Consider the following 23,736-nt stretch of genomic DNA (forward strand, 5'->3'; position numbering starts at 1 on the left):
CCACACAGTCTCCATTCTGTCAAGGAGGTTCTCTCTGGGCTATTAGTTGCTCAGAGAATCATATTCCCTCCATGTGATCAGCTCTTATTGATGGCAAAAAAGACAAAGCAGAATACTTTTTACGATTAGAACCTCAAAAGGAGCCCGTAAGTGTGTGCTGTGTCGGGAGACAGGCTTGAGTGGGATAACAATGACTCTGGATAAGAATGTAGATGACAGTCCATCCAAGAGAGCACATTGTCTGTTTTCTCTCCGATTTTTGGCAGCCCGTGGGTGGGTACATGACCTCAGCAGAGAAGCACACAAAATTGATTTATAAATTATTCATATATCATGTTTTAATTCTAAAAGCTGGATATTAACTTGACTAATTGGCTCTCAGTTGGAAAAAAAAAGAATTATGAGATACTAGTTTCATATTTATTAGCCAATTGTAAGCAATAATTTCAGCAAAACCTAACTCAGAAAAATATATTAAACGTTCAAAATCTTTATTAATATGTATTTTATTCTTTTAAATTATTTGACTGCATAATTATTATGTATACTGAGAGAAAATAAAAAACTCAAGCATGAAGAAGAAAATAAAAAATATTCATAAATCTACCATCTAAAAAGCGTTGTAAATTTTTCTATGTAAAACTACATATTTTTCTCCAATTTTTTTTCTCAAAAATGGGCTTATAATATAGTATCCTGGAACTTTTGAAAGCAACTAAATAAGATAATACCTTAATAGTTTTATCATATTGCATCACATAGATGTGTCATAATTTATTTAGCCAATTACTTATTGTTGAACATTAATGTTGTTCAAAATGTTCCAATACTATAAACAATGTAGTAATGAACATTCTTATATTTGTAGCTTTGCACAACTCTCCAACTATATACTTAGAATAAAATATAGGGTGTACTCAACCAAGAGGTGTAACACATATATTTTACTCAAAATTTCAGCTAATTATTTCCATCCTTTTTATCATATGCTAAGTCTGTAGCTTAACTTATGTCATGAGTTTGTATACAGATATATAAAAACATGAAGTAACTAAAATTTAACAAATACAAAGCAAAATTCTACTTCAATTTTCTTATCAGGTTGTGAATAGACTTGCTGAATTAACTTCTAATATTCATCTTCTTTCTTTGGTAAGTTGATGAAATGATCCCTATTTTAAATAGCTGCTGAAATAACCAATGCTTGTGAAAGTGTTTGTATATAAAGAGCTTTTGAAAAAAAACATGGAAAAATTTTTATCTATGCTTAGACTGCATAGGACTTGTGACTCAGTTTTAAGAACTGCACATGAATTTGAAATTGCTATTTGAGATATAAACAAAAAACTCACCCAGGACCAATGAATTCTTGGATTCCTGGCAGAAGAAATTGTAAGACTTCTCAGTAGAGACACACGAATGCATGGATCAGCCATAGGAAAAAATAACTCTACATAAGATGAGATTTAAAATAATATAAACTAAAATTTACAGGATGTAACTGATACAGGAGGGGGCAGGGAAGTGCTGGTAAGGGAAGGGCGTGGTCCTTGGTTTGGGGTCCACCCCGGGGCCTGTGCCCACGGACCTAGGTGAGGACAAGCATTTATGTTTTCCTGCCGAAATGTTGCGTTTCCCAAGACCACCTGGCCTGCCAAGGTGGTTTAACATCTTCCAATAATTTGACTTCAGTATTCCCTGCTGGTTCCTTCTCACATACACACTGAAGAATGCTTTCTCAGCCTGATTTCCATGTCTGAGTCACGTGCAGTCCATTTTAATGTCAACCCCATTTGTGTCCCCAGCATCAGCTCCTGAGCTACTGCACTTCTCCAGTGCTTAGGAGTTTAGCTCATTAGGTGCTAAATTACTAGCACCAGAAAGTGACAAGTTTCACTTTGCAAACTTTTACCACCATAAACTCACTCAATAAAAACAAAAGAAGCCATAGAGAAGCAGGGTTTGGGGGATCATAAAAAAAATATATGTTTCAGGCAGTTTGTATTTATCCAAGTGGCAGCATTGAGTTAATGCTAAGGAAGTAGACAGCTTCAGTTAATGAGATGTATTATTTAGGGAAAATAGAGCTGTCACTATTTCTTGCCATGTAAAGCAGTGGATTTGTTACTTTTGAATGCTGGCTGCATTAACCAAAACATCATTTATTCCTATTGAGATGTTCCCCCAGAGCTGCACTTTGGTTAATAAAGATAAACCTTCATGTTGGTTGTCAAACGATATCTTCCCATCCTAGGAACCCTTCCAACAGCAACCTGGGCACTTATTCCCTGAAAAGATTTGCTTAGTGTAAGATCTTCATGTGTATTTCAGAGCTTCGGTGGATTCCCTTAACTGACCTCTGGAGCACTTTCTGTGACAATGTGAGATCTATACCTGTGTGGTTTGCTGAAGCATGAAATCTAAAGAAAACCACAAACGAACAAAAAATTTAAGAATTTCAGCCCCATAACAAACTTGCATGTTTTCATTGGACAATTATCCAGCTTCCAGTCTCCCTCTCTCCTCTTCCTAGCCAAACTTCCCCAGATGTCTCTTCCCCTTCCTCACCTCTCTCTTGCTCCCAAACCACTCTATTTTAGCTACAGCACCATCACTCCACCCCAAGAAGTTTTACTATAGTCAAGAATGGGCTCCACGTAACTAAACCAATGAGTAGTTTCAGCTGTCTTCATTTTTCACCTATTATAAGTATTGGACACTATTGATACATCCTGCTTCTTTAAAAGCTATATCCAGTTAGTTTCCATGATTCTATACTATTCTAGTTTCCTTCTTATCTCTATCGCCAAGTTTATTCCTCTTCACCCACAGTCATTAAATGCTGCTGTCCCTCAAGGCTCAGTATAAGCTTTGATCCTTCCTCTTTCTATCATCTCTCTCTAGAAGACCTCACCTACAGCTACAGCCTTGAATGCCCTCTTTTTGCAGGCATCTCACAAACTGGCCCGCGACTCTAACTCAGACATCTCCCCCAAACTCTGGACTCACTTAACCAGCTAAACCTTTGACATCTCCCAAAAGATGTCTCATAATCTTCATCAGTTCCCAAAATGTCTAGTCTAAATGGCTGAGTTTCTTTCCCAAGCATGAACCTCCTCCAAAATCACTATGTATTCTTCTCCCTCAAACCAGAAACTTACGTGATATCCCGAAAATAGCCCCCCTTACGTTTCATATCAAATTTATCATACATATTATCTATTTTTCCCCTTAAATATTGTTCATATCTATCCACCTTTTTTTTCATTTTCATCCCTTAATTTAGGGCCCACCATATAACAGGAACTCAATATTTAAATTTTGAATTAAAGAATCACTAACGTCAACACTCTAGTAAAAGCCTAGCCTGCTGCAAGAGCTTCTGAATTGATCTCTTCAGTCCAGATTTACCCCAATACAACAATTCTCCACTTTCCCAATTAGCTGGAAGCTTTATGCACACAACAAAAAATAGGGTTGTCATTCACTTTTTCCCACTGTAAATGAAATGTTAATCTTCAAGAACCACATCAATTATCTGAGCTCTCTCTTTATAGGCCCATCACATCCCATGCTCTGTCATTTCCCTCATTGCAACAACCACCAGGCTGCTTTAGGCCCTTTCCACTCAACATACTCTCTACAGACATGGTGTCCTCTCTCTGGTCCAGTCCTCTACTCCACCCCAATCACCTCCTAATTGATGCTTACTCATCCTTTATATCCAAGCTCATTTCAGCCCATTTCTTCAGAAAAATTCGTAACAACCTCCCTGACAGGATCAATCATTTCTATGATGTGCTATAAAAGCACAAAAATTAAATGCTAACTTGTTAGAATTTTTCTTTATTTGTAACTACATTTAAAATATATTTCTGAGAGCACAAGTTCATTAGGACAAGGATGTCTTCTTATATTCACCATTGTTTCCCCAGAAACAAATAGCTCAATATGTTTAATTTTACATGTATATGTATTTTATATGAATATGATTTGGCTTATGTAATATATGTGTGTGAATAAATATTTGTATATATTCTTTTTAATGTATATTTTATATATATATGTCTATCTATATTGTGGTTTTAGACAATTTTATGTCTCTGGGGCTCAATTTTCTCATTTATTTAATGGGGCCAAAATAATAATATCTAAAATCTTGCCTGTGTAGATGTAACAGAATAAAATATTAACAATTTTGACAAAACTGATATTAAAATAATAATTACATGGCAAAAAATAACTGTATACTCAAACTCAAAGCACAGCAGAAAAACTGTGAGATAATATTTGCAATATATATCACAGATAAAAATTCATGTCCTTAAATATAAAAAACTTTTTGAATGAGTGAAATATTATCAAAAATATAATAGCAAATGGGCAAAAGATATAAATGGATGGTTCACAAGAAGAATGTAAATACAAAAAAGACATTTAACCTCCCTCATAATGAGAAAAACGAAAATAAAACTGTACTGACTTACCCTTTCTCAAGTATCAGATAGGCAAAAATGAAAAAAATCATATGACAACATACTCAGTGAAGATGTAGATAATAGTCACTCTCATACAATTCAGTATGAAAAAACATTAGTAAGCACCTTATGAAAATGAACTAGAACTTGTCAATAACCTATAAAACTACATGTATGTTCACATTTCAGACCAGAAATCAATTTCTAAAAATTACTCCTGTAGATACATCTCCAAATATAAAAAAATACATATGTGTGAGGTTATTAATTACAGCATTGATTATAAATAAAAAATACTGGAAACAAACTGGGTGCTCATACATAGGAGGGAGATTCAGTAAACTAAGGTATATCCACAGAATGGACTCAATATATCCAGAATAGAATGATGAGGAAGAGAAAGATTTCTATGACATGGAGTGATTTTCAAGAAATACAGTTAAGTGAAAAAGCCAAAATAGAAAGATTAGAAAAAGCATACTGTTCTTAGCCAAGGGAATCCTAAACCAAAAGAGCAAATCTAGAGGCATCACATTACCCAAATTCAAATTACACTAAAAGGCTATAGTAACCAAAACAGCATGGGATTGGTGTAAAGGTAGATCCACAGACCAATGGAATAAAATAGAGAACCCAGAAATAAAGCCAAATACTTACAGCCAACTGATTTTTGACAAAGCACACAAAAACATAAACTTGGGAAAAGACATCTTATACAATAAATGGTTCTAGGAAAATTGGATAGCCACATGTAGAAGAATTAAACTGAATCCATATCTCTCATCATATACAATTCAAGATGGATTAAATACATAAATCTAAGACCAAAAAAACCATAAAAATTCTAGAGGAAAACCTAGAAAAAATTCTTCTGGACATTAACCTAGGCAAAGAAATTATAACTAACAACCTGAAAACAAATGCAACAAAAGCAAAAATACATAAATGGGACTTAAATTAAAATGCTTCCACAAGGCAAAAGAAAATAACCAACAGAGTAAACATGCAACCTACAGAATTGGAGAAAATATTTTCTATGCATCCAACAAACAATTAGTCCCCAGAATCTACAAAGAAGAACTTAAACAAATCAGCAAGAAAAATACAAATAATCCTATTAAAAGGGGGCAAAATACATAAGTAGACATATCTCAAAAGAAGATATGCAAATAGCCAGCAAACGTATTTAAAAAATGTTCAACATCACTAATCATCAGAGAATTGCAAATTAAAACCACAGTGAGATACCACATTACCCCAGACAGAATGGCCATTATTAAAAAGTCACAAAACAATAGATAGTGGTGCAAAAGTGGTGAAAAGGGAACACTTATACACTGCTGGTGGGAATGTAAGTTAGTGCAACTTCTATGGAAAACAGTATGGAGATTTCAATTTCTCAGTGAACAAAATGTAGATCTACCATTCAATCCAGCAATCCCACTGCTGGGTAGCTACCCAAAGGACAAGAAGTTGTTATATCAAAAAAGATACTTGTACTTGTATGTTTATTGCAGGACAATTTACAATTGCAAAGACAAGGAATCAACCTAAATGCCTATCAACTGAAGAGTGGATAAAAAAAATGTGGTGTATATATATACCATGGAATACTACTCAGCCATTAAAAAAAGAATGAAATAATGTCTTTTGCAGCAACTTGCATGGAACTGTAGGCTATTATTCCAAGTGAAGTAACTCAGGAATGGAAAATCAAATATCACATGTTCTCACTTATAAGTGGGAGCTGAGGAATGGGTACAAAGGCATACAGAGTGGCATAATGGACTTTGGAAACTCAGAAGTGGAGAGTGGGGAAGGGGATGAAGGAAAAAAAACTATCTAAAGGGTACATTGTACATTACTCAGGTGATGGTACACTGAAATCCTAGACTTCATCACTATACGGTTTATCCACATAACCAAAAATCACTTGTAGCTCTAAAGCTAATGAAATAGAAAAGTTAAAATAAAAAAAACACAGAAAAAATACTAACAATCATGCAGTTTAAAAAGAAGGAAAAGTACTGAAATTCCTTGATTAATATCTATCTTTTCTGCTAGCCCATAAATTCTGTGAGAATGGAGATTTTCTCTGATTTGTTCACCACTTATGTACAGTACCTGAAGTATCATAAGTGCTCTATAAGTGCTAAAATAAATTGAAAAAAATGCAGATATGTGTTTCAACACATTCAAATACAATAAAAACTTCTATATATATAAAACATATGCTATTTTTTGTGTAAGAAAGATGGGGGAGTGAGAAAATATGGATGTATCTTTTTATTGTACATATAGGAAAGATTCTTTAGAGATTAATGAAATTGGTTAGTTACATTGCTTGGGTGAGAACAATGGAAAGAATGGAAGGAATGGGGATAGGGTGGAGAATGAAGCTTCTCCAAGCATACCATGTTGAACCATCTGACTTTTAGACCCCTGCTAATGTTTCAAATAATTAAATGAAGGGAAATAAATAATAAATAAAACAATATGTGGGGAAGTCTAAAACAAAATACAAACAGAAATGCATTTTTTAAACCATATTTGGAGAAGTCATGTAACCACACTGGAGGAAGAGAAAAAAAAGAACAAAATCAGGTAATTTTCAACAGCATTTAGATTACACACTTCAGGCCAAAGACAAAATTAACTTTGGAAATATGTTGGACTCTGGTTAGTAGGTTTCTTTTTCACAGATAGATGGGTTAACAGTTCTAAAACTACTTTCTGTGTATTCTAGATCTAAGCAAATAAGTAAATATATTGTAGATACTAGAAGCCAGATTTCTCATTGTCAGAGAAGGAAGCTTTAAATATGGAAATGCGGAAGGATAGTATGAATGCTCTAGTATTTGGAAGAATGAGTGTGAACTGGATTTTAATACACATAAATAAAGAAGTAGTTAAGAATGCTTTAGGCTGCATGTATATTCATACATATGTGTATGTTTGTGTAGGATTTTGTGTATATATATACATATATATCTTTAAATGTAAATCTGTTAAGAAATACATATAGATATAAACCTATGAGTGTATATGTATCCTTGTATATATATTTGTATATCTATATGGCTTCTAACTCTATCCACTGAGAGAGCCTAGAAGCGATAATACCCTAGTAGCAATGAGCATACCTAGTAGCCACATCTTGATTTCTAATCACATTTTCCACTTAAAAAGTCCAGACATTTTGGATAAACGGCTGATTTCAGGGATAGAGTGGAACAATAAAAGATGTACCTGAAATATTATTTTGTGTCATAACGTGATGAAGTGCTCAATGAATGCCAGTTCTGTGGGGCAACACTTGCTAAATCTGGGATCATTTGAGTATATTTAAACCCATGATAGTAAAAATTTTAATCCATACAATAAATTAATAACTCATGAGTCCATGTGCATAACAATAAATAAATAAATAAATAAATAAATAAAGCTCTTCTTTACAGCAGACATTAAAGTAATAAATGTAGGACTGATGGAATTAGAAAATCGAGTGGCAGTCATTATTGTAATCCTTGTCTGAGGCAAGACTCCTCAAGAGGTAATGAAACTGTTAAGTAAAATATTGACAAGTAACTATTTGAAAGGAAACTACATAGTTTCAAAATATATCTTTACAAGTTATTAATTAAAAAGGGGAAGCATAAGAACCTGTACCTTGGAGAAACCAAGTGATCATAGTGAATATCACCAGAAAGGTGGTAAGCCCACACCACGTTCCTCCGAACGTGATTCACCGAGAAGGACAGAAAAATCCCTTAGTAGAATTCCAGGCAATAATGATCTGAACCTAATCATTTAGAAGTATCAAGCAGGGAGTTGTGGCTCGTGCCTGTAATCCCAGCACTTTGGGAGGCTGAGGCGGGCGGATCATTTGAGGTCAGCAGTTCAAAACCAACCTGGCCAACATGGTGAAACCCTGTCTCTACTAAAAATACAAAATTAGCCAGGCATGGTGGTGAGTGCCTGTAATCCCAGCTACTCAGGAGGCTGAGGCAGGAGAGTTGCTTGAGCCTGGGAGGAGGAGGTTGCAGTTAGCAGAGATCGCGCCATTGCACTACAGCCTGTGTGACAGAGCAAGACTCTGTCTCAGAAAAAAGAAAAGAAAAGAAAAGAAAAGAAAAGAAATATCAGACAGGCCCAATTTACGTATATTCTACAAAATACCTGCATTTTATTTTTTTTTAATGTTAGTATCATGCAGTACAAATTTAAGAAGGCTTCTGGATTAAAGAAAATTAGGGAAACATGATAACTTTTTGCAACAAATAATCTGATTTTCCTCTGGAAATCATTGGAACAATGGTGAAACTAAAGAATGTTGCTTTAATATTAATTTTCTGATTTTGATAACTGTACTGTGGTTATATAAGAGAATAGTCTTACTTCTAGGAAATATACTGTAAAGGAACAAAGGGGCATCACATCTGTAATTTATTCTTAAATGTTTCAAAAAGTATGTACACGTGTGTCTGTGTGTGTGTGTGTGTGTAGATATCGATCGAGGCATAGATAGACACATGGAAAAGAGAGAGGAAGAAAACAGAAGGGCCTGTAGAGAGAGGAAGTGAGAATGAGAGAACGTTTTCATGTGAGTACACACAGGAAACAAAAAGCACAAGAGGAAATGTTAACATTTGGGGAATCTGGGTGAAGAGTATGTGAAGATGTCTTGTTCAATTCCTACAACTTTTCATAAGTCTGAAATCATGTCCAAATAAAGTTTAAAAGAAAATAAAACTTATAATTCTATGCATTAGTAAATAATCTTCTGGTCCTGGTCAAAGCCCAAATGGTAACATGATATGACTAAGATAAGACAATTTGTCAGAAGCAGAGCTACGTGTAGAACAAAGTCTCAGGTATTCTTTTTACTAAACAACAATCAACAAGTCATCAGTTTTCCAAGTCCTGTCTTCTTATGCCCAAAGCAGATATTGATAATCAGTTAATAGAGCCATGGCGCGGTCTCAGTATCCTCCTCAATTCATTGCTTCAGGCAACCTTTAAGATTGAAACCTATTTCCCATTCTAAATATCACACCTCGCTCCCTCGAATTCATACTGCAGTGGAACTATCTCACACCAGAATCTTTACAGAAGGTTGCTTTTTAGGTGGTAACAGAAATGAAGTACAAAATAAAATTTTCTACTTTGAAAGCAAGCTATGTGCTATAATTAAATAAATTTTAATAACTTAGGACTAATCTCTTCCTTGAAACAGAGTTCTTTTGGTCTGAATGCATGTAGACAACCCCTTGTTCCTTTTGCCGCAGCCGGGCGAACAGGGCCCTCACTTTCCCCACTAATGAAGCAGAAAGAGGAGTCTGTTAAAACATCCTTTCAGGTTTGGCTTAAAGTTCTAAGACATTAGCCATTGGTCATTGATCGTTGCACCTTCCTCCACCATAAACTCCACTTTGAGCCTAGAATGCTGCTTCAGAATCTCAGTGTAATGACCCAGATCATCATTTCCTATGTGAGTTGACACTGTGATAAAACTCACATGCTTTTACAGGGATTCCACCTTCCTAATTTAAAGTCACTATAAAGAGTAAATGACTTCTACCAGATTCTTTCATGGGATGTGGCTGGGGGTGAGGTCAATGAGAATGGGAGAATTAAGGTGGGAAAATAAAACACCTGAAGGACATTGTATGATTAATGGAAGGGAAAAGAAATCTGAGAGCTGAGCCTCAAGGTTTCAAAGTCATCCTCTGCTGATTTTCTAATATATCAGGGTGTCTGAGGTAGACAGCTGCATTTGCATCTTAAAGTGTAGGTCAGATTATGCCATCCTAAACTACGGTATATTTTTGCAGCATATTCTAGTCTCAAGCAATGGGTAGAGTTCCATTGCCCAGGTAGCCGAACATTAAAGGGATGTTTAAGAGTTTCTCTCTCTGCCTTTTTGAGAACCATGTTTTGGCACAGCTACCTCAATGACACAAGGCTATAGATTGATTACATGCATTTAGGCCAAAGGAATGCTATTTGCATGGAAGAGACTGGTCTTTAATTACTGAAATTTGTTTAATAATGGCATGTCTTTCAGGGGAACCAACATGTTTATGTATTAATCCTTTAAGTAGTAGTCTTGGTCCCTAACTTGGAAAGTGCAAATTGGCAACATTTAACTACTTCAATCCAATTCCCCAATCTCATTTCCCAAATTTTCTCCACTGAGAGCTGCCAGTGCCCCCAGGGTGCATATTTCACATAATTAAGCTTTATAGCTAGAGCCTGTTCTGAGATGGTCAGCTGCCTGAATCCCATTGAAAATGCAGACAGAACAGAAAGTGCAAGGCTGATTCACACTTTTGGATGCTCAGACATTGCCCTGGTTGCTCTCCGGTTTGAAACAATTGGAAGGGAGACTTTTATTCTGCATAGGAAAGACTCAGTCACGCCCCTGAGGAAGGAAGTCATCCTCTGGCTGGTACCAACACAAAATTGAACCAAGGGGCACATAAATTATCATTATCAAAGACGATCCTATATTTATAATAATTTCCTGTATCTTATTGTATTTCTTCATCTTCAGGACAAGGCTGCAATTGGTACAGTCTTTGTGGCCATTTTTTAGGTTAAGAAAATGAGAATTTTTCTATATCTCATCCTTTTGCTAAGATGGTTTAAAATTCAGATTTTCTGACTCTAAAACCAGTGAGTTTTCTTATTACACCTCTAACAATGTTATTTTCCCTGCTAATTCTTTGATATATTTACACACATGCACACACACACATATATATCCTCTCCTTATACAGGGGTCAGACTGCGGTATAAGGCTGGTGGTCTTAGAGAGAAGGGCAGGTATAATGTCGGAGACGAATGCCTGATATCGGAGGAGACATCAGTAGATAGAGTCTCCTGTGATCAAAGATTACTAAGTTCATTCTGATTTTAGGGCAGAGATGGTCTACTTACAGCTGGTAGGGTGGATCTGGGTCCATAGATTTAACTATAACTGTAACGAAGACAGAGTTTCCTGGAACACCAAGGGTCCTTATGTTCCATATTCCTTCCAGTACCAGCACATGGCAGCCCAAAATAAAAATGGTATTGAAGTAATTGGAAATATTTCCAATAAAGCACCAAAGCCAAGATTTGCTATTTAAAGCTCAGTATTAGCTGAAGCCAGACTTTCCTTGGAAACACATACACACACGAAGATCTATTCAATCGTATAGAGATAAAAATGATGAATTGGCAGATGCACGGGTTTAACCATTTGTAAGCAGGGTAGGCAGGATTGGGGCAGTACCTCCCTTATTCCCAAACTCTCTCCACATTCTGGCTACCTCACCATGGCCACACAATGCCTTTTCCAGCAGGTAATTGCCTGAATTTAAGGCTGCACGATATTTTATGAGGAAATGCCACTGTCTTTTAGATTATAGCAACCAAGAAAAAAGTACTAAAAGCCTGAAACAAAACAGTGTTGCTGGTGGTATGGCCTTCCTAGACCCCAGGGCCATCCTTGATAATATTTTCTGTGTTCTCTAATTTCATCTCTGCCAAAAGCCATTAAGGTGTATCAGCAGCCATAAAAGGCAGACTCCCAGGGAGGAAATTGTAAGAAACATTTCTGGGGTTAAAGTTAGCCTCACACCAAATAGTCCTATGAGGAAAAAATACAGCTGACAGATTTATAGGATTTCTCTTACAAAAGAGACCTTGCTGGACCACAGGTAGCAATATAATCTGCTGAATTCTCACACTGCAGGGCCTTGCTTTATACAAGAGTAATAGGTTTTATAAACTTAATCTCATTATATCCATTGAGGTAATTCACTAGGGCAATTCAATATGTGAAGGAAACCTGCAGTGAACATTCTGAAAACTTAAAGACGTGTTTTGTTTTCTTTATTTTTTAGACAGCTTTGATACACAATTCACACACTGTACAATTTGCCCTTTTAATATAATGCCATGGTTTTTAGCATATTTACACAATGGAGCATCCATCACTACAATCAATTTTGGAATATTTTCATCGTCCCTCCAAAAAACACTGCACTTCTTGGCCTTCAACCAAATCTCCCCATTTACCCCAGCTCTCCTCAGTAATATATTTCTGAGTTGATAGATTTGTCTATCCTGGACATTTCATGCTGCAGCAGGTTAGTCCTGACTTTTTATCATAATGGTCATGAGGTTCCATGAAACCGAGAGAATAGAAGCATGAAAGGTCTCTTGAGGCCTGGGTTCAGAACTTCTAATGCATTCTATTGGCCAAAGTGAGTTAAAGATCAGCCCAGATTCAAGGGGTGGAGGAATATATTCCACCAGTTGATGATGAATGGAGAAGCCATAAAGTCCCATGTCAAAGAGTTACGGAGAAGTTTGGGATTCGAGCCGCCATTAAAAAATAGATCTACCATTGTGATAGTATATTTTATCAAAATTCTGCATGTGTTATCATCATTCTTAGTTAAAAACATAAGAAGATATATTACTAAATAGTCTGGCACTGCATACTAGTCTTTATAAAATGACAAGGCAATATCTGTGGCATCTAAACCAAACACCTATATACTGATAAAATTTTCTCTCTACCTTCCCAGCAAAGCATTCTCTCCAAAGGTACCTCTCAATGTATCCTGGGTCTCATGGACAACAAAATTAAACTCATTATTTCCTTCAGAAACTTATCTTTTTCCTCCTGTATTTTATATTTAAATGAATAATACAATCAATTATCCAGTTACCTAATTGTGATACCAAGGAAGTATTTAAGATTCCTATTCCCGGCTGGCTTAACGCACATTGTTCAACAAGTCCTACATCTCTACCTTCAAATGGCTGTTAATTCTTGCTTCATCTCTGCATTCAACCGCCACTGCATTATTCCAGGATCTCTTTATTTTCAACCTGAATTATACAACTTTTGGACTTGTTTCTCTGTTCCTGTTCTCATCTGTCTTTAATCCAAATATCCACAGTTGTGCTGGTGTAAATTTACTATATTATGGCATCTCTCCAGCTAAATGTCATCCAATGATCTTCAACTATTTCCCACTTAAAAATCCAGGCTTCTTACTACAGCATTCAAGGTCTTCTCTGATCTGACCCCTTCTTGCCCCTCCATTGTACTTTCATTTTCTTACTTTGCTGTGTTCTTGCTCAGCTCACATCATACACATCTCATCATACACTTCTATTTGCCTCAATGTTCTTCCCTCTAGTGTCATAGGGGAGGGAGGACCCATGGTATTTAAGAGCAAGTACATTAGAGTTAGATACTCTGATTCTGACTCTAAGAATGTTGAGTTCCCACTTAATGATGCTGAGCTACCCTTTTCTTATTAGTATAATAAAATGGAAATAGTAATGACATCTACCTCATAGGGTTGTTTAGGGTATTAAATGTAATAGTGCATGCAAATAATTTAGCACAGTTACTTGCACAAATAAGCATTCCATAATGTTAAACGTCAATATTAATATTTCTATCACCTCATTTTTTTGCTTCTGAAGACCCTTTTCATGTTTCAAGACTTAAAGCTTACATCTTTGAGCACCCATTTTGGAATGGAATTCTACTATCCCATTCTCATTCTTCCAGTGAGTTCCCATCAAATCCTAGGCATAACTTCACTACAGCATTTGATACATAATATGGATTTCTCCTCTCTTTTTGTATGCCTGTATCCCCTCCAAAACCTATAAGCCACCTAAGAGCAGGGATTGTGCTTCATTCAGCTTTGACTGCCTTGTGTCAGTAAATGCAAGATTCCCTTGTGAAGTTATGGAAAATCCAGGCCCAGCTTTAGCAGAAATGAGTATATGCAGTCATAGATGGAGACGTGGCTAGGGAATTAGAATTTCTTGGCTCAGTGGACTTTATTTACTCAATCAACTTCCAGGTCATATCCTGACAGCTGAGTATTGACCAACAGAAGAGCTTGTAACTCAGGCATCCTTCAGGAACCTTGGATCAAAACAATTGTGATCCTGCCAAGCCTTGGCTCAAGGCAAGGACAATTGCCTTTGATTCTAAACCATTTAGGGAATTCCAAAACTAGTGTTAGTCAAGGACTCCTATATAGGTTTATTTATTATGAAAAATATCAAGACTGAGAAACTAACATTTTGGGAAATTACTATTATCAACATCTGATAGAAACAGGATGACCACATTTTGTTGAATGTAAATTTCCAAGAGCAAAAAACATGGGAATGAGGCCGATTTCCCATCTTAAGCACGCAGGATTTCAAATCAATTTCTTATTAACTTGATAACATTGCTTTTTCTAGAAAGGTCACTATTTTTTGTGTTAAGAATATGCTCTTGGCCAAGCATAGCGGCTCACACCTGTAATCCCAGCACTTTGGGGAGGCTGAGGCAGGTGGATCACTTGAGCTCAGGTGTTTGAGACCAGCCTGGGCAACATGGCGAAATCCCATCTCTACAAATATTACAAAAACTACCCACCTGTGGTGGCACATGCCTATGGCGCCAGCTACTCACTCAGGAGGCTGAGGTGGGAGGACTGCCGGAGCGCGGAAGGTCGAGGCTGCAGTGAGCCATGATCATGCCACTGCATCTAGCCTGGACGACAGAGCAAGACCCTGTCTCAAAGAGAAGAAATATGCTCTTTAACCTTCAGGTAGTATCTGCAATTTGTAGAGAAGATTGTTTTCCCTTATCTTTTATTTCTTATTCTAGTCTCTGGAACTTGCTTATCAATCAGAAATGCATTTGAGGGATTGAATTTAAGCAATACATTTAACATACATACCTCTTAGCAGGGTTTTTCAGTATAAGTCTCATTTTCATAGATTCTTGCTCTTGATTCCAAATTATTTTTGTGACTCTTTTCCTGATTGTCTGGGTTATCTGGCAATTATTTGTAGACTCAGGAGCTTGAGAGAAGTCTGGAATTTCTGCCTGCCAATTTGTAGTTTGACTTTCAAAACCCAGCTCTTTGCTTTTGTTCTTATTTATCTTTCTTAAATAAAAAAAATAAAAAAAAAGGGCCAACCCATTTTTTCTATTTGTCTTTATTCCAGAGAACATGGTTTATATAAACTATTTAACTATTGCAAAAAACACTTCTGATCCTTTCGTTTCCTATAAAGGGAGTAATATTTCACCATCTCCATGATATGTTTGTATCCTATACAGGAAGAACAATGAGACATGGAGTGAAAAAATTTCCAGTAGCTCTACTCCTTTATCACTGGACAGACAAATAGCTCACTGCATGTGGGTTCCCATATACTATTTTATTATGAAAGATAAAACATTTAGAAAGAGAAGACCTCTTATAATATAATTCCATTAAGCTCTCCTCACCTCATATTTTTATGTTTTATGTTTATTTGATATCATTTTATGTAATTATTTGCTGTAGTGCTCTGATTTATACTTAACAAGGTAATTGTATTACAAAATAAATGAGGCTTGAATTGATTTGCAGTAAATGTATATAAAAGTTATATTCTTGGTTGAAGTTCAAATACTGTGGGAGGAGTAAGAATGCAGAAACACATGCCCATGTACAACTGGCCTCCACCACACACATTATACACCAGGTTTTCCTTAACTGGGACCATAGAGGACTAAAGCCATACTGACACATACATTATGTCTCCATACTGTATATAAACATAACATCTAAGTATTTATGAATATTCTCTTCCCTCTTTCAAAACAAATACACCACATTAATCCCTCTTTCTTGTCCTTGAGCTAGAACTTATATATTTCTCCCAAATTTTATACAAAATATAGCCAAATGTGACATTAAGCTTTTCTCCAAAGCCATGTATATTTTTAAAAATTATACGATTATCTGTTAATTATCTACATTTATTTACTCTGTGTCATAATGTCAGGACTGAATTAGGCAAAATATATTTTTCCCCCATCCAAAGGCTTCCTTTTAGAATCTGCCAATAAAAGGCAGGCTCCTGAGGAAGAGGGACAAAAAGGGATGTGTCTCCTTTTGTAACTGTTACATCTGTTAGCGTCACCCAACGAAGGAATTTAATGCAGTAGCAACACCTGATTCCTGCCTTCAACTTCTTTCAGCACTCTTAAAACCAGCTTAGGAGCCCCTCAGAAGCACTAGCAGTAAGTAGGCTGAGCAGCATTTCTTGGAAATCCAAACCCAGATCCACAAGATCCCTTTGAGGATCTCCTGAATATCAGCAACAGACAAGCAATACTTACTCCAGAGAAGTCTCATCCCCAGTTCTGCAAGGTCCTTTCTCTAAGTTCTTGAGGTACCAGCAGTAACTAGGAGCCAACCTGTCTTCACTGATCTTAGTTCCGCCTGTACATGACCCCTACTATGAAATTCAAGATTTTGATAACTCTGTCTTTATCCATTTGTTCTCCTAGCCTTATGGGTATTAGTTATTTCCTGCAGTTACTACTTCTATGTTACCATGCTGTTCCATTTTTGCTCTTTCATCATTCTACATCTTGGTTAACAATACTCTATGTAAAACGTTCACTGTTGAATTACAGAATGTAATATCTGTTTTTCTTATTAGACTCTGATGTATACTGTACCAGTAGTGGCCCTAGAAAGCAGATATTCAAAGTTTGAGATTCTGGAATTGGTGTGGTTGTAACCTTGTCCTTGAACACAGAATTGGATTACTTACAAATGTAAAACTGGATATAAGTTATTTATAGTACATAGTTTTTGTTTTTGTTTTTGTTTTTACAATTCATTTAATTATCCACCTGTGTAACTCAGGAATTCCACGTGGGTTTAAATATTACCAAATTAATTGAGATGCTTAGGGATAGAAAGAGCACCATAATTATTATTACAATAAAAAAATAAGCCAGACAAATTGAAATTAATTTTATGAGTTTTTAAAAATTCATCAGCAATCTTGAGTTTTCAGGGCAAGCGCCTAGCCCAAAATTGAAGAAAGGTAGGCATCTTTAGGCAGAGATGGTGTATGAATACTGGACTACTTGTGACAGGCACAACTGGACACCAATCACAGTACCCAGAAAGGGTCCTTGGTTAAATTGGCGGAAGCTGATCATGTGCTGTTGAACATGTGAGGCCCCTAAAACTCACACAAACTGGAGAAGTCTATGCCCTTTTCAAGGATTCTTCTCCATGAACCCTGCTGAGTGCTCACAGACAAGATTGGAAAAAAGTAACTAAATGTTCTTTGTGGTACAGAGCTGAGAGGAGAGGGGAACAGGAGTTTATGCAGAGAAGGATGCTCCTCTATCTCTGCTCAGGAAAAAAAGCCTCAACCTATGCTGGGAAGGACAGAAAACATGGATGCCCTTAGGGCACAGGTGAGGATTCATTGCAACTGAGGAAAGCAAACAGATAGAAAAGTCCCTATCTTGGAAGGTAGGCAGGAATGTGTGCTGGGTTCAGAACTACAGCCAGGGTAAGAGCAGGATCACTGTGTAGGGGACACCCCGAAGACCCAAGACATGGTGCTGGCAAAGAGAAGGCATGAAACTGAGAATGGATGAGCATTCAGAGAAAACAAAAACGAAGCCAAAAGCCTCTGGGAAGCAGCCTCCTCTTTAAATAAAATGTACGGCTACAGGGATCTGAAGAGTGTGATATGCTGGCAGTAACCATCGCAATAGAAATCTCATTGGTCAAATTTCTAACTAGGTTAATTCAAGCCCCAGCACTAAAGGCCAAGCAGAAAGAAAATGTGCCCAGGCATAAAAGCTGTTTATCTCAGTCTTTACTATCCTTTACAAGATCTCTGGCTTTCAAAAACAAACCACATTAAGAAATGTGAAAAAGCAAGAAAAGGCCAATACTACCAAGAGATAAAACCAGTCATCAGGATGAGACTAAGATATGACACCGAATTTAGTATTATCTAATAGATGATTTAGAATAACTATGTTTAATATGATAAAGTTTTTAATGGAAAAGTTGAATAATTACAAGATCAAAGTAGGTAGTTTCAACAGGGAGATGGGAACTGTAAGACACAATCAAATGGAAAAGCTAGAAATGATAAGCACAATAAAAGAAATTAACAGTGACTTCAGCAGGCTTATCAGAGAAGGAAAGAATCAAAGGAACCTGAAGATGTTTCAATAGACATTTTCAAGCAAACAAAACAGAAGATAGAAAAAGAGAACAACAACAAAAAAACATTAAGACATGTATAGAACAATGCATGTAAGGGTAATTAGAATCATAGAAGAAGAGATATAAATTAGGCTAAAGGGACATTTGAAGAAATAATACCTGCGAACTTTCCAAACCTAATGACAGTCATCAGACAACAGATCTAAGAATCTCAGAGAACAGAGGCAGAATAAATCCCAAGACCACTACATTTAGCTATATCATGTTCAAACTACTGGAAATAAGAGTCAAATGGAAAATCTTGAATGCAGACAGCAAAAGGGAAACAAGATATCCCATACAGAGTAACAAGTATAAGAATTATTGAGGAAGTAGTCAGCCATTCTTGTGTAAAACCAATCAATGTAGATGGAAATACAATGACATCTTTAAAATGATAAATTGAAAAACAATCCAGACAACAACACATTCAACCTAGAATTCTATGCCTAGAGAAAATGTGTTTAAGTAATGGAGAAACAAAGACTTTCTCATACAAACAACTACTGAGGGAATTCATTGTCACCCCAATTCTACATTGAATGTTAAAAAGGAGGTTTTTAGAAACAAGGAATACGATATCAAACAGAAACTTACATCTACACCACGAAAAGGAAGGGCACTGAAATTGGAACAAATGAAGATAACTGAAAATTACTTTTCTCCTTTCCATTGCTTTAAAAGATAAGTGACCGTTTAAGGCACAAATAGTTGATAGCATATGCAAAACTAAAATATCTGACAACAATAGCACAAATGATGCCAAGATAAATTAGAAGAAATACAGTTATATATCTACAGCCATACCACCCTGAATGCAGCTGATCTTGTCTGGTCTCGGAAGCTAAGCAAGGTTGGGCCTGCTTGGTACTTGGGTGGGAGAAAATATAATGTTGTATGATCCTTAAACAACACATGAAGTCGTATACTTGAAAATTGAATAAATTAAATATGTAAGATGTATTCAACTCTAGGACAACCTCTAAAAACAATTTTTTAAAAATCATTATTTAGAAAATTACCAATTACAACATAACAGAAAATGAAAGTATTATAATCCAGCAAAATATTTGAAAGATCTGGATGCTGAAAAAAACAAAGCTTTGAGAAAAGAAAGCAAGATGACCTTAATAAATAGTGAACTATATAATGTTCTAATGACAACTAAATGGTCAGAATTCAACTCTTTGTCATTGTGGGACTGAGGTCTCTGTTTTCTTGCTGTCAAGCCAGGATTTTCTCTTAACTCCTTACAGCCACCTGAATTCCTCATCATATTACCCCCTCCATCTTTATAAATCATGGTGTCAAGTCTTGTTCATGCTTCAATTCTATCTGATTTTACTTCTGTCACATCTATTCTGCCTCCAGCCAGAGAAAATTATCTGCTTTTGTGGGCTGGTGTGATTATTTTAGGCCCGTGAGGGTAATCCAGGATATTCTCCCCATCTTAAATTCTTAACTTTAATTATATCTGCAAAATCCCTTTTGCCATGAAATATAACATTTCACTGGTTCTGAGAATTAGGATGTGAATATATTGGGGAGGGGAACATTATTCTTCTTACCACAAAAGGAATCAATAAAAAGAGTGAAATAATAGTGTTAGAAATCACACACGTGCACACACTTATACACACACACACACTATGAATGTTTTCAAAGGACTTTTCAATAATATCACAACAAAAAGTCAACAAATTTGAGAATAGGTAGGTCAATATCAATTATCTAAAATGAAATAAAAGGGGCCGGGCACAGTGGCTCACACCTGTAATCTCAGCACTTTGGGAGGCCAAAGCGGGTGGATCACCTGAGGTCAGGATTTCGAGACCAACCTGACCAACATGGTGAAACCCTGACCCTACTAAAAATACAAAAATTAGCTGGGTGTGGTGGCAGGTCCCTGTAATTCCAACTACTTGGGAAGCTGAGGCAAGAGAATCGCTTGAACCCAGGAGTTAGAGGTTGCAGTGAGCTGAGATCACGCCACTGCACTCCAGCCTGGGCAACAGAGTGAGACCCCGTTTCAATAAATAAATAAATAAAAATAAAATGAAATAAAAGGAGGAAAAAATGTTAAGAAAATACTGAACAGAACATTTAAGAATTGTGGGAAAACAGCTTTTCTCTAACATACATGTAATTGGAGTCCCAGGTAGAGGAGAGGAAGATGGTTGTTTCAGAAGTGTTTAATGTGATAATGGCCAAGAATTTTTCAAAATTAATAGACAAGAAACCACAGATCCACAAAGTTCAAAATTCCAATTAAGAACTTGGAAAGGCAAAAACAAGAACCAAACCCACGACCAAAAAAACCGAGGCCAGACTAAACCAAACCAAACACACACACATAGACACACACAGGCATTATCATAGTCAAACTCCTGAGGCATAAAAATACAAGAAAAATCTTGAATGTAGCCAGGGCAGGGGGAATATATAAAGTACAGAAGAAGACTATGTCTGGGTAACCACAGATCTCTTTTCAGAACATAGCAACTTAGAAAACAATGAAGTAAGGAACACCTCTAAATTTTAAAGTAGAAAGCAGAGAAACACCGAAAGAACAAAAAATTACCTGGTCAGATTTCTATAACCACAAAAAATATGTTTCAAAAATAAATTAAAAAAATGGTTTTCAAACAAACCTGAGAGAATCAATTGCTTGCAGAACTGAACAATAAATATTAAAGAAATGTATTCAACTGCATAATCATTTCAATACTTGCACAAGCACATTTGAAAAATTCTGTTACAAAAAACTTTCGGGGGAGGAGCCAAGATGGCCAAATAGAACAGCTCCAGTATACAGCTCCCAGTATGAGCGACGAAGAAGACGGCAGAAGACGGGTGATTTCTGCATTTCCATCTGAGGTACCGGGTTCATCTCACTAGGGAGTGCCAGACAGTGGGCGCAGGTCAGTGGGTGCGTGCACCATGCGCGAGCCAAAGCAGGGCGAGGCATTGCCTCACTTGGGAGGTGCAAGGGGTCAGGGAGTTCCCTTTCCAAGTCAAAGAAAGGGGTGACGGATGCACCTGGATAATCGGGTCACTCCCACCCGAATATTGCGCTTTTCGGACAGGTTTAAAAAATGGCGCACCACGAGATTATATCCCGCACCTGGCTCAGAGGGTCCTACGCCCACGGAGTCTCGCTGATTGCTAGCACAGCAGTCTGAGATCAAACTGCAAGGCGGCAGCGAGGCTGGGGGAGGGGCGCCCGCCATTGCCCAGGTTTGCTTAGGTAAACAAAGCAGCCTGAAGCTCGAACTGGGTGGAGCCCACCACAGCTCAAGGAGGCCTGCCTGCCTCTGTAGGCTCCACCTCTGGGGGCAGGGCACAGACAAACAAAAAGACAGCAGTAACCTCTGCAGACTTAAATGTCCCTATCTGACAGCTTTGAAGAGAGCAGTGGTTCTCCCAGCATGCAGCTGGAGATCTGAGAACGGGCAGACTGCCTCCCTCAAGTGGGTCCCTGACCCCTGACCCCCGAGCAGCCTAACTGGGAGGCACCCCCCAGCAGGGGCACACTGACACCTCACAGAGATGATAACAAACTATCTCTCAGACCACAGTGCAATCAAACTAGAACTCAGGATTAAGAATCTCACTCAAGGCCGGGCGCGGTGGCTCACGCCTGTAATCCCAGCACTTTGGGAGGCCGAGGCGGGTGGATCATGAGGTCAGGAGATCGAGACCATCCTGGCTAACAAGGTGAAACCCCGTCTCTACTAAAAATACAAAAAATTAGCCGGGCGCGGTGGCTGGCGCCTGTAGTCCCAGCTACTCGGGAGGCTGAGGCAGGAGAATGGCGTGAACCCGGGAAGCGGAGCTTGCAGTGAGCCGAGATTGCGCCACTGCAGTCCGCAGTCCGGCCTGGGCGACAGAGCGAGACTCCGTCTCAAAAAAAAAAAAAAAAAAAAAAAGAATCTCACTCAAAACCGCTCAACTACATGGAAACTGAACAACCCGCTCCTGAATGACTACTGGATACATAACGAAATGAAGGCAGAAATAAAGATGTTCTTTGAAACCAACGAGAACAAAGACACAGCATACCAGAATCTCTGGGACGCATTCAAAGCAGTGTGTAGAGGGAAATTTACAGCACTAAATGCCCACAAGAGAAAGCAGGAAAGATCCAAAATTGACACCCTAACATCACAATTAAAAGAACTAGAAAAGCAACAGCAAACACATTCAAAAGCTAGCAGAAGGCAAGAAATAACTAAAATCAGAGCAGAACTGAAGGAAATAGCGACACAAAAAACCCTTCAAAAAATTAATTAATCCAGGAGCTGGTTTTTTGAAAGGATCAACAAAATTGATAGACCGCTAGCAAGACTAATAAAGAAAAAAAGAGAGAAGAATCAAATAGACACAATAAAAAATGATAAAGGGGATATCACCACCAATCCCACAGAAATACAAACTACCATCAGAGAATACTACAAACACCTCTACGCAAATAAACTAGAAAATCTAGAAGAAATGGATAAATTCCTCGACACATACACTCTCCCAAGACTAAACCAGGAAGAAGTTGAATCTCTGAATAGACCAATAACAGGAGCTGAAATTGTGGCAATACTCAATAGTTTACCAACCAAAAAGAGTCCAGGACCAGATGGATTCACAGCCGAATTCTACCAGAGGTACAAGGAAGAACTGGTACCATTCCTTCTGAAACTATTCCAATCAATAGAAAAAGAGGGAATCCTCCCTAACTCATTTTATGAGGCCAGCATCATTCTGATACCAAAGCCGGGCAGAGACACAACCAAAAAAGAGAATTTTAGACCAATATCCTTGATGAACATTGATGCAGAAATCCTCAATAAAATACTGGCAAAACAAATCCAGCAGCACATCAAAAAGCTTATCCACCATGATCAAGTGGGCTTCATCCCTGGGATGCAAGGCTGGTTCAATATACGCAAATCAATAAATGTAATCCAGCATATAAACAGAACCAAAGACAAAAACCACATGATTATCTCAATTGATGCAGAAAAGGCCTTTGACAAAATTCAACAACCCTTCATGCTAAAAACTCTCAATAAATTAGGTATTGATGGGACGTATTTCAAAATAATAAGAGCTATCTATGACAAACCCACAGCCAATATCATACTGAATGGGCAAAAACT

The 23,736-nt window shown here is 37.2% G+C and overlaps 1 pseudogene, besides 1 other annotated feature; it reads left to right on the forward strand.

The window, feature by feature from the left end:
- RNA5SP326 (RNA, 5S ribosomal pseudogene 326) lies at positions 19,377 to 19,486 on the forward strand (annotated as a pseudogene).
- Positions 21,674 to 22,240: an enhancer, noted in NCBI's record as "NANOG-H3K27ac-H3K4me1 hESC enhancer chr10:109223615-109224181 (GRCh37/hg19 assembly coordinates)". NCBI's record gives its function as "activates a minimal SCP1, AML or CMV promoter by ChIP-STARR-seq in naive H9 embryonic stem cells {active_cell/tissue: H9 hESC(naive)}" and the evidence as "EXISTENCE:reporter gene assay evidence [ECO:0000049][PMID:30033119]".

Source organism: Homo sapiens, chromosome 10 (assembly GCF_000001405.40).
Source record: "Homo sapiens chromosome 10, GRCh38.p14 Primary Assembly".
Lineage (NCBI taxonomy): Eukaryota > Metazoa > Chordata > Mammalia > Primates > Hominidae > Homo > Homo sapiens.